This window comes from Homo sapiens, chromosome 2 (assembly GCF_000001405.40).
Source record: "Homo sapiens chromosome 2, GRCh38.p14 Primary Assembly".
Taxonomy (NCBI): Eukaryota; Metazoa; Chordata; class Mammalia; order Primates; family Hominidae; genus Homo; species Homo sapiens.
Window position 1 is genome coordinate 42468837 of NC_000002.12, and position 12339 is coordinate 42481175.

A 12339-nucleotide genomic window follows, 5' to 3' on the forward strand; every position below is an offset into this window, starting at 1 on the left:
CTCAACTACTCCAGAGGCTGAGGCAGAGAATTGCTTGAACCTGGGAGGCGGAGGTTTCAGTGAGTCGAGATCATGCCACTGCACTACAGCCTGGGCGACACAGCAAGACTCCGTCTCCAAAAAAAAAAAAAAAAAAAAAAAAAAATGCCAACTCCCTAAATCCATAAATTTAATGCAAAAAATTTTAGTGTAATGTGATCAAAATTCCCAAGAAGGGTTTTCATGGTAATTAATAAGCTGATTATATTATTTCAGTAATTAAGACAGTATAGTGTGAATGCTGGAATTAATAGGATGGCAGGCCGGGCGCAGTGGCTCACACTTGTAATCCCAGCACTTTGGGAGGCCGAGGCAGCTGGATCACGAGGTCAGAAGGTGGAGACCAGCCTGGCCAACATGGGGAAACCCCATCTCTACTAAAAATACAAAAATTAGCCAGGTGTGGTGGTGCATGCCTGTAATCCCAGCTACTCAGGAGGCCGAGGCAGAAGAATCGCTTGAACCCAAGAGGCGGAGGTTGCAGAGAGCCAAGATCAGGCCATTGCACACGAGCCCGGGTGACAGAGCAAGACTCTGTCTCAAAAAAAAAAAAAAAAAATAGGATAGTGAACCTAGAAGTAGATCCACATACCCACAGAAACAAGATAAATGGCAAATGAGGCTCTTCAGATTAGTGAAGTACATACTGGACTATTCTGTAGTGCTAAGGAAAGTGTTATCCACGTGAATAAAATTAAATTCCTCACATAAATAATAATAGGTGGACTAAAGACTCAATTTGAAATGTAAAAGTTAAGTAAATTATTTATAAATATATTTAAAACTTTAAAGAAAATATAAAAGAATCTTTATGATCTTGGAGACGATATTGGATATTTTCTCAGACAAGTTAAAAATCACACTAATCATAAAGAAAAATTTGATAAATTTGTCTGTTAAAATGTACAGCTTCTTCCTTTCGCTGCCTGACTGCTGCCATCATGGGTTGCATGCATGCTCCCAGGAAGGGCCTGTCCTGGTTGGCTCTACCCTAACAGTGCAGCATCACCACTTGGCTGAAGTTGACATCTGATGAAATGAAGGAGATTTACAAACTGGCCAACAAGGCCTGACTCCTTCACAAACCGGTGTGATACAGAGAGACACATGGTGTTGCACAAGTACGTTTTGTGACAGGCAATAAAATCTTAAGAATTCTTAAGTCCAAAGGACTTGCTCCTGATCTCCCTGAAGATCTCTACCATTTAATTAAGAAAGCAGTTGCTGTTCAAAAGCATCTTGAGAGGAATAGAAAGGATAAGGATGCTAAATTCTGTCTGATTCTGATAGAGCGTCAGATTCACCATTTGGCTTGATATTATAAGACAAAGCGAGTCCTCCCTCCCAATTGGAAATATGAGTCATCTACAGCCTCTGTCCTGGTCGCATAAATTTGTCTATGTACTCACGCAATAAAATAATTGTTTAAATTTTAAAAAAATGTACAGATTCTATAAGCCCCAAAACACCATAAACAAAGTAAAAATACCAGCCACAGTCAGAAAGATATTTGCAGTCAGGCATTGTAGCTCACGCCTGTACTCCAGACACTTCGAGGTCCGTACAGGAGGAATGCAGGAGTTCAAGACCAGCCTGTGCAACATAGTAAGACCCTGTTTCTACAAATATTTTAAAATAAATAAATAAGACAAGATATTTGCAATACACAATCAGTACCTAGGATGTATAATCAACCATTTAGAAAAAGAAAAGTCAGGATCAAGCACGGTGGCTCACAACTGTAATCCCAGCACTTTGGGAGGCTGAGGCAGGCAGATAGCTTGAGCCCAGGAGTTTGAAACTGGCCTGGGCAACACAGTGGGAACCTGTCTCTACAAAAAAGTACAAAAATTAGCCAGACGTGGTGGCATATGTCTGTAGTCCCAGGTACTCAGGAGGCTGACATGGGAGGCTGAGGCTGCAGTGAGCCATGGTCACATCACTGCACTCCAGCCTGGACAACAGAGCAAGACCTTGTCTCAAAAAAAAAGAAGTGGGGGGCCAGGTGGCGTGGCTCTCACACCTGTAATCCCAGCACTTTGGGAGGCAAAAGTGGAAGGATCACTTGAGGATCGAGACCAGCCTGGGCAACACAGTGAGATCCTAACTCTACAAAAAATGTTTAAATTAGCCAGGCGTGGTGGTAAATGCCTGTAGCACCAGCTACTTGGAAAGCTGAGGGTAGAGGATCACTTGAGCCTAGGGCTTCAAGGCTGCAGTGAGCTATGATCGTGCCACTGAACTCCAGCCTGGGCAACAGAGTGAGACTGTCTCAAAAAAGTGTGTGTGTGTGTGTGTGTGTGTGTGTGTATATATATATATATATTCACACAAAAATTTGGACACAAATGTTTATAGCAGTCATAATAATCAAAAAGTAAAAACAATACAAATGTTCAACTGATGAATGGGTAAACAACATGTTGCATAACCATACAATAGATTATTATCCAATCATAAAAGGAATAAAATACCACATGGATGAATCTTGATAATAAACTAAGTGAAAGCAGCCAGACACAAAAGGCTCCATGTTGTATAACTGTATTCATATGAAATGTCCAGAATAGGCAAATCCATGGAGATAGATAGCAGATGGTTGTCAGGGTATGCGAGGAGGGGGAACAGGGTGTGACTACCTAACAAGTAGGTTTCTTTTTGGGGTGATGAAAATGTTCTGGAATAGTGATGATAGTTGTACAATGTAGTGCGTATCATAAAAACCACCAAATTGTATACTTGAAATGGTAAATTTTGTTACATGGATTATATCTCAATTTTTAAAAAAGGAATGAGCAATACAAACAACATGCAGATAAATGTTTTTAAACATTATGCTCATCAAAAGAAGCCAGACATGAGGCTGGGTACAGTGGCTCATGCCTGTAATCCCAGCACTTTGGGAGGCAGAGGCAGGAGAACTGCTCTAGCCCAGGAGGTTGAGGCTGTAGTGAGCCATGACTGCACCACTGCACTCCAGCCTAAGTGACACAGCGAGACCCTGTATCTCAAAAAAAAAAAAAAAAAAGAAAGAAAAAAGAAAAAAAGCAAAATATATTTCATATCTACCAGATTAGCAAAGTGTTAAAGTCTGACAACATGTAGAAATGGCAAGGATATTGAACAACAGGACTTCTATTCACTACTGTTAAGAATATAAATCAGTAGAACTACTCTGGAGAGCTATTTAGCAACATCGAGGAGAGATGTGCATACTTTTCAATACAGCAACTCCAATCCTAGGTAGATGCATTAAAGAAGGTCTCCTACATGTGCACTGAGACATGAACAAAACTATTCATTGCAGCACTACAGTAATAGCAAAATTTCTGTGAACAAAAGAACAAATAAATCAATTCCTACTACATTACAGTTAAAATGCAAGGGCTACAGCCATAGAAATCAAACGTGACATGAAGTTGAACTAAAAAGGCAAGCTCTGGACTCCATTGATTATACCATTATAAAAACAGTGTATGCAAAACAATGCTATATTTCGTGTACATAATCATATATTAAATGTATTTTTAAGTACATGGGAATAACATCAAAGTCAGGAGAGTGCCACTTTCTGTGGAAAATGAAGGGATTTCAATGGGAAAGAGGCACTCAGTAAACTTCGACTGCATTTTTTTTTTTTTTGAGACAAGGACTCACGCTGTTACCCAGGCTGGAGTGCACTGGCACGATCTCGGCTCACTGCAACCTCTCTCTCCTGGGTTCCAGCGATTCTCCACCTCAGCCTCCCCAGTAGCTGGGACTACAGGCATATGCCAACATACCCGGCTAATTTTTGTATTTTTTGGTAAAGACAGGGTTTCACCACGTTGCACAGGCTGGTCTCAAACTATTGGCCTCAGGTGATATACCCGCCTCGGCCTCCCAAAGTGCTGGGATTACAGGCTCAACGATATATCTATAGATCTATACATATATCGATATATCTAGATATCTATATATAGATATCTATGTAAATATATAATCTATAAATATATATATATAGATCTATCGATAGATATATATATATATTTTTTTTTTTTTTTTGAAACAGAGTCTCGCTCTGTTGCCCAGGCTGGAGTGCAGTGGCGCAATCTCGGCTCACTGCAAGCTCCGCCTCCCAGGTTCACGCTATTCTCCTGCCTCAGCCTCCCAAGTAGCTGGGACTACAGGCACCCGCCACCACGCCCGGCTAATCTATTTTTAGTAGAGACGGGGTTTCACCGTGTTAGCCCAGATGGTCTCCATCTCCTGACCTCATGATCCACCTGCCTCGGCCTCCCAAAGTGCTGAGATTACAGGTGTGAGCCACCGCGTCCGGCCCTCAACAATATTTTTAATGTTTTATTTCTTTAATTGGGTAGTGGGTAAACAGGTATTAATTGTGTTATCATCTATTGTTTTTTATATGCCTGAAAGACTTTATAATGACTTTTATGCATAATTTCCTCTTCTACCATTGTAAAGCATGTTTCTTTTTTTTTTGTTTGTTTTTTTGAGACAGTCTCACTCTGTCTCCCATGGTGGAGTTCAGTGGCCCGATCTCAGCTCACTGCAACCTCCGCCTCCCAGGTTCAAGGGATTCTCCTGCCTCAGCCTCCTGAGTAGCTGGGACTACAGGCACACACCACCATGCCTGACTAATTTTTGTATTTTTAGTAGAGATATGTTTTCACCATGTTGGCCAGGCTGGTCTCGAACTCCTGACCTCAAGTGATCTGCCTGCCTCAGCCTCCCAAAGTGCTGGGATTACAGGAGTAAGCCACCATAGCTGGCTGTAAAGCATGTGTTTCTTTTATTTCACAGATTGATTTGTTCTGCTTCTTAGGTTTTTGATAGATGTAGTCAAGAAAAACACATTTTGATTGGCATAAGGAATTCGGTTTTTAAATGCTTAAATTTTGCTTTATTTTCAACACTTATATTAGAAAAAAAAAATCTTCAAAGCATTTGCTGTAATGACTTAGCACCAACATTTAAATAAATTATTCAGGTTAGGCCAGGCGCGGTGGCTCACGCCTGTAATCCCACCACTTTGGGAAGCAGAGGCAGCTGGATCACTTGAGGCCAGGAGTTCGAGACCAGCCTGGCCAACATGGTGAAACCCCGTCTCTACTAAAAATACAAAAATTAGCTGGGTGTGGTGGTACACACCTGCAGTCCCAGCTACTTGGGAGGCTGAGGCAGGAGAATCGCTTGAACCCAGGAGGCAGAGGTTGCAGTGAGCCGAGATCACCCCTTGCTGACCATCCTTATCTTCTGACTCTTGGTGATGCTATTTTGACTTAGTGACCTAGAGCAGTGGGATCCCACAACCCTTGCTCTGGGCGACAGAGCAAGAGTTCATCTCGGAGAGAAAAAAAAACACTGTTCGGCCAGGCATGGTGGCTCATACCTGTAATCCCAGCACTTTGGGAGGCCAAGGTGGGCGGATCACCTGAGTTCAGGAGTTCGAGACCAGCCTGGCCAACGTGGTGAAACCCTGTCTCTACTAAAAATACAAAAATTAGCTGGGCATGGTGACGCATGCCTATAATCCCAGCTACTCGGGAGGCTGAGGCACGAGAATCGCTTGAACCCAGGAGGCGCAGGTTGCAGTGAGCCAAGATGGCACTACTGCACTCTAGCCTGGTGACAGAGCAAGACTCCATCTCAAAAGAAAAAATAAATATATTTTAAAAACGGTTATGAATCTAAATATTATGTTTTGATATACCTACCAACTCTCATTTTAAAAAATATATACTAATCTTTAACAGAAAATTTACATTGCTACTTCTTCTCATATATTTCTATTCTGCTTCTCCCACTTAATTTTGCCCTGATATATTTTTTAAACATTTGTCAAATTTTATCAAATCTTACACTTAAGTTTTATGCACTACATTGTAATTTTCACTTAAAATTTTTGTTGTAAAACAAAAAGAAAATTACATATGGACAAATTAAAGAGAACACATAAAGGGGAATTCTTTTGTTCTGATGAATCCTTTGAAAGCAATAGGTTTGGGAGGAGCCAGCCTGCCTTACTCCAGTGGCAGCTGACCCAATGTACACGACTTCTGCAAACTAATCATAATTAGACCAGGCTACACAAGGGCAAGGAAGCTACCTTATTTCCTGTCTTCTCATCATTGTGTCCTTAGCACACAGTACACAGGTGTTCAGTATATTTGCTGAACAAACTTCTATAACAAAGGTTTAAAAGGACCTACTGTAATATATTTTGATACTTGAAATTTTGTAAACACCCATTACCTTTCTCTGCAACAACAAAAAATAGGCTTACAATTTAACTGTTTAAAATTTCCTGTGCTACTGGGTGCAGTGTAGTCCCAGCTACTTGAGAGGCTGAGGCAGGAGGATAGCCTGAGCCAGGAATTTGGTGCTTCAGTGAGTTATGATCACACCACTGTACTCCAGCCTGAGTGACAGAACAAGCCTCTGTCTCTTTTTTTTTTTTTTTTTTTTGAGATAGAGTCTCGCTCTGTCGCCCAGGCTGGAGGAGTACAGTGGTGCGATCTTGGCTCACTGCAACCTCTTTCTCCCAGGTTCAAGTGATTCTCGTGCCTCAGCCTCCCGGATAGCTGGGATAAGAGGTGCACATCATTACACCTGGCTAATTCTTTTATTTTTTTGTAGACACGGGATTTCGCCATGTTGGCCAAGCTGGTCTCGAACTCCTGGCCTCAACTGATCTGCCCACCTCAGCCTCCCAAAGTTCTGTGATTACAGGCATGAGCTGCTGCGCCCGGTCTGAGACTCTGTCTCTTTAAAAAAAAAAAAAAAAAAATTCCTGTGACTGTAAATTGTGTCAAATTTTTTCATCAAGTTACCACTCCAAGTATTAATAGGATGCAATTGATCAAAACATGAATATTACAAAATTCAGTATAAAATTAATAAAATCGGGCCAAGCACAGTGGCTCAGCCTGTAATCCCAGCACTTAAGGAAGCCAAGGTGGGTGGATCACCTGAAGTCAGGAGTTTCTGAGACTAGCCTGACCAACATGGTGAAACCCCGTATCTACTAAAAATACAAAATTAGCCAGGAGTGGTGGCACATGCCTGTAATCCCAGCTACTCGGGAGGCTGAGGCAGGAGAATCACTTGAACCCGGGAGACAGAGGTTGCAGTGAGCCAAGATCGTGCCATTGCACCCCAGCCTGGGCAACAAGAGTGAACTCCGTCTCATATAATAATAATAATTAATAAAACATTAAAATTCTATTGAAACTTTTTAAATAAAGTAAGTACAGTTTTTTAAAATTTTTTCAATTATTCATGTCTCTTTATCTGTTACAAATTTTACAACCAGGCCGGGCGCAGTGACTCAAACCTGTTATCCCAGCACTTTGGGAAGCCGAGGTGGGAGGATTGCTTGAACTCAGGAGTTCGAGACCAGCCTGGGCAACATAGAGAAACCCAGTCTCTACAAAAAAAAAATACAAAAAATTAGCCAGGTACAGTGGCACAGGCCTGGAATCTCAGCTACTTGAGAGGCTGAAGTGGGAGGATTGCCTGAGCCCAGGAGGTTAAGGCTGCAGTGGGCTGAGATCATGCCACTGTAATCCAGCCTGGACAACAGAGTGAGATCCTTCTCAATAAAAATTTAAAAAAAAAAAAATTTTTGAGACAGAATCTTGCTCTGTCACCCCAGCTGGAGTGCAGTGGCACGATCTCAGCTCACTGCAACCTCTACCTCCCGGGTTCAAGAGATTCTCATGCCTAAGCCTCCCAAGTAGCTGGGGTTATAGGCGCACACCACCATGCCTGGCTAATGTTTTTTGTATTTTTAGTAGAGACGGGGTTTCACCATGTTGGCCAGGCTGGTCTCGAACTCCTGGCCTCAAGTGATCTGCCAGCCTCAGCCTCCCAAAGTGCTGGGATTACAGGTGTGAGCCACCATGCCCGGACAAAATAAAACATTTGTAAAAAGCAAAGAACTGATAATCATATAACTTTGCAAAAGAATTTGTTGCCCATGATTAGAGTCATTCACTTTCTCACTTCTTCAAAAGTACTGCTTAAGGCCGGGCGTGGTGGCTCACACCTGTAATCCCAGCACTTTGGGAGGCTGAGACGGCGAGATCACGAGGTCCGGAGATCGAGACCATCCTGGCTAACACGGTGAAACCCCGTCTCTACTAAAAAATATAAAAAAAAAAAATTAGCCGGGCGTGGTGGCAGGCACCTGTAGTCCCAGCTGCTCAGGAGGCTGAGGCAGGAGAATGGTGTGAACCCGGGAGGCGGAGGTTGCAGGGAGCTGAGATTACGCCACTGCACTCCAGCCTGAGCGACAGAGCAAGACTCTGTTTCAAAAAAAAAAAAGAAAAAAAAAAGTACTGATTAAAAAAAAATACTTAGATCAAAAGGTTTCCAGTGACTGCTAAATACACTAGTTACTCTTATGCTTAAAGGCAGAAAGGGACGATACATTAAAATATTTCAAGACAAATTTTTCAATACTATATATATGTGTGTGTATATACATATATATACACACACATATATATACACACACACACACACACACACACACACACACACATATATTTTTTTTTTTTTTTTTTGAGACGGAGTCTTGCTCTGTCGCCCAGGCTGGAGTGCAGTGGCGCAATCTCGGCTCACTGCAACCTCCACCTCCCGGGTTCACGCCGTTCTCCTGCCCCAGCCTCCCAAGTAGCTGGTCAATACAAAATTTTTATTAGATATTTGTGTCGGGGTCGGACATGGTGGCTCAGACCTGCAATCCTAGCACTTTGGGAGGCCGAGGTGGGTGGATCACCTGAGGTCAGGAGTTCGAGACTAGCCTGGCCAGCATAGCGAAAATCCGTCTCTATTAAAAATATAAAAATTAGCCAAGCATGGTAGTGCATGTCTGTAATCCCAGCTACTAGGGAGGCTGAGGCCAGAGAATCGTTTGAACCCAGGAGACAGAAGTTGCAGTGAGCCAAGATCGTGCCACTGCACTCCAGCCTGGGTGACAAAGCAAGACCCCGTCTCAAAAAATATATATATATTTTTTTGAGTCACCTCTTTCACGGGCATCCCACAGGGTTTTATACCCTGACACAACGCACCTTAGTAAGGTTCTGGATGAGTGAGAGGAGTGTTTTTCGTTTGTAAAGTGGGAGTTGGAATTGTGAAAGGAGAGCCTGGAGCCTTTACCACAGGCACGTTCTCAGGCCTACTTGTTATAGGTGTCCACATTGAAGTTGAGGACTTGGAAACTGGTTGCCTTTAAAACCATGGTTCTCAAACTTTTGCGGCTCAGGACCCCTTTACACTCAACTCCTGAGGATCTAAAGGAGCTTTTGTTTTATGTAAATTACATCTATCTATATTTATCATATTATATATTAAACTAGAATTTTTTTTGAGATAGGGTCTCACTATGTTGCCCAGGTTGGAGTGCAATGGCACCTTCATGGCTCACTGCAGCCCCGACCTCCTGGGCTCAAGCAATTCTCCCACTTCAGCCTCCTGAGTAGCTGGGAGTAGTGCACGTCACCATGCCTAGCTAATTTTCTTAATTTGTAGAGAAGAGGTCTCATGATATTGCCCAGGCTGGTCTTGAACTCCTGGGCTCAAGTGATCCTCCCACCTAGGCCTCCCAAAGTGCTAGGATTACAGGTCTGAGTCACCACACCTGGCCTGTCAAAGACATTCTTAGGTAAAGCTTAAAAAAAAAAAATTGAGTACATGGTAGTGGAGGATATAAAAACTAACACAGTTTGGTGTCACTCAAATGACATAACCTCAGAAGCCCTTCTGGGACACCCCAGGCTGTGTTAGTTCTGTCCCCCACCTGCACTGCCTTCCACAGCGGCACCATCTCACCTTCTCTCATAGATGGCTCTATGGCTACTTGAGGGCAAGGGTCCCGTCTTGGTTATGCCTCAAGAGTTACTGGGTAATATTAACACATATAACTCACTTCCTTTCTTAAAGTGTGCATCCCAGTTTATTTCATATAAAATCATAAACTTTTAATACATTACTAAAACAGCTGTCCCTGATTTAATACAGGTTGAGTATCTCTTCTAATATGGTTGGGACTAGAAGTATTTCAGAGTTTGAATTTTTTTTTTTTTTTTTTGGATTTTGGAGTATTTGCATAATACCACTTGAGTATCCCAAATTCGAAATCCAAAATACTCCAATGAGCATTTCCTTTGAGCATCATGTCAGCACTAAAAAAGTTTCAGATTTTGGCACGTTTTGGATTTTCAGATTTGGGACGCTCAATCTGTAGCACCTATCTCCTGAATCCCAGTTTTGATCACACATTGCCTCCCCAGCCACCAGATTTACGAAGTCAGACTCAAGAATAGCTAAACTTTCTTTCTCTAGGATAGATACAAAGAATAAAGCACTTACTAGAACCCAGAAGTAACTTGCCATCTCACAATCAGCTCCAAGTAGTGAATCCTGGTATTTTCCAAGGTGGAGCTCAAGCATGAATATCGTCATATAAAAGTGGAATAGCCAGGCTTAGTCACTCACACCTATAATCCCAACACTTTGGGAGGCCAAGGTGGGCAAATCCCTTGAGCTAGGGAGTTTGAGACCAGTTCTGGGCAACTGAGCAAAACCCCATCTCTACAAAAATTCAACAAAATTAGCTGGGCATGGTGGTGCATGCTTGTAGTCCCAGCCACTTGGGGGGCTGAGGCAGGAGGGTCGCTTGAGCTCAGTAGGTCGAGGCTGCAGTGAGCCAAGATAGCACCACTGCACTTCAGTCTGGGTGACAAAATAAGACCCTGTCTCAAAAAAAAAAAAAAAGAAAGAAAAATAAAGAAAAAAAGAGTGGCATAAATGAGGCTTAAGCATCTCTGAAATTAACACAAATCAGGCAGGCGGGGTGACTCACGCCTGTAATCCCAGCACTTTGGGAGGCCAAGGCGGGCAAATCACTTGAGGCCAGGAGTTCAAGACCTGCCTGGGCAACATGGTGAAACCCTGTCTCTACTAAAAATAACAAAAATTAGCCAGGCGTGTTGGTACATGTCTGTAACCCCACCTACTCAGGAGGCTGAGGCACAAGAATTGCTTGAACCCAGGAGGTGGAGGTTGCAGTGAGCTGAGATTGCATGCACCATTGCACTCCAGCCTGGGTGACAGAGCAAGACTCTGTCTCAAATTAGAAAACAAAAACAAACAAACAAAAACACACACAGATAGTACTTAACTTCTAAATACTTGATATCCCACACCAACCATAAAAGCCCCTGTTCTACCAGAACTATCATGATTCAATAAGTTCTAATTATTGTTTAGTACTTTGGGGAAATAGAACACTCTGTAAGTCAGGGTGGTCCTCAGTTGGATCCAAGGGCGCTTAGCATGGCTGGTTAGAAGACTAGAATCAGGCATCACTTCCTGATCCTGGAAGCCACCAAATATCACAGGTACTCTCATTATCCCCATCTTACAGACAAGCAAACTCAGCCTTAGGGAAAGAACGTGCCTGAGGTCCTGTAGCTAGACACTGGTAAAGTGTTAAGTCCAGGCCTGGGTGGCACCACCATTCTAAATCAGGGGTTGGCAAATGTTTCCTATAAAGGGCCAGATAGTAAATATTTTAGGCTTTTCAGGCCATACAGTTTCTATTGCAACTACCCACCTCTGCCAAAGTAGTAGGAAAGCTGCCATAAACAATATGTAAAAGAATGAGTGTGGCTGTGTTCCAATAAAACTTTATTTATGGACACTAAAATGTGAATGTCATGTAGTGTTCACGAGTCACAAAATATTCTTCTTTCAATTTTTTTTCAACATTTACAAAATGTAAAAACCATAACTACTCATAAGGCTGAGATAGGAAGAGCCTTTCAGCTCGAGTTCAAGACCAGCCTAGGCAGCATATTGAAACCCCATCTTAAAAAAAAAAAAAAAAAAAAAGTAAAATCCTTTTTTTTTCTTTGAGATGGAGTCTTGCTCTGTTGCCCAGGCTAGAGTGCAGTGGCGTGATCTTGGCTCACTGCAACCTCCACCTGGGTTCAAGCAATTTTTGTGCCTCAGTCTCCCTAGTAGCTGGGATTACAGGCATGCACCATCACACCTGGCTAATTTTTCTATTTTTAGTAGAGACAGGGTTTCGCCATGTTGGCCAAGCTGGTCTCGAACTCCTGACCTCAGGTGATTTGCCCGCCTCACCCTCCCAAAGTGCTGGGATTTCAGGCATGAGCCACTGCGCCTGGCCAAAATCCATTCTTACTTAGTTCAGGGGCTACACAAAAACCAGGCAGTGGGCCTGAGTTCGTCTGCGGGTTATAGTCTGCCCACCCCAGCTCCAGA

General features: G+C 42.7%; 1 protein-coding gene and 1 pseudogene across 3 annotated transcripts in view; one reads left to right on the top strand and one right to left on the bottom strand.

The window, feature by feature from the left end:
• The window catches only part of KCNG3 (potassium voltage-gated channel modifier subfamily G member 3), a 105631-nt gene that overhangs the window by 80485 nt on the left and 12807 nt on the right, over positions 1-12339 (bottom strand). The gene's annotated exons all lie outside the window — the stretch shown is intronic.
• Positions 955-1477, top strand: RPS13P3 (ribosomal protein S13 pseudogene 3; annotated as a pseudogene).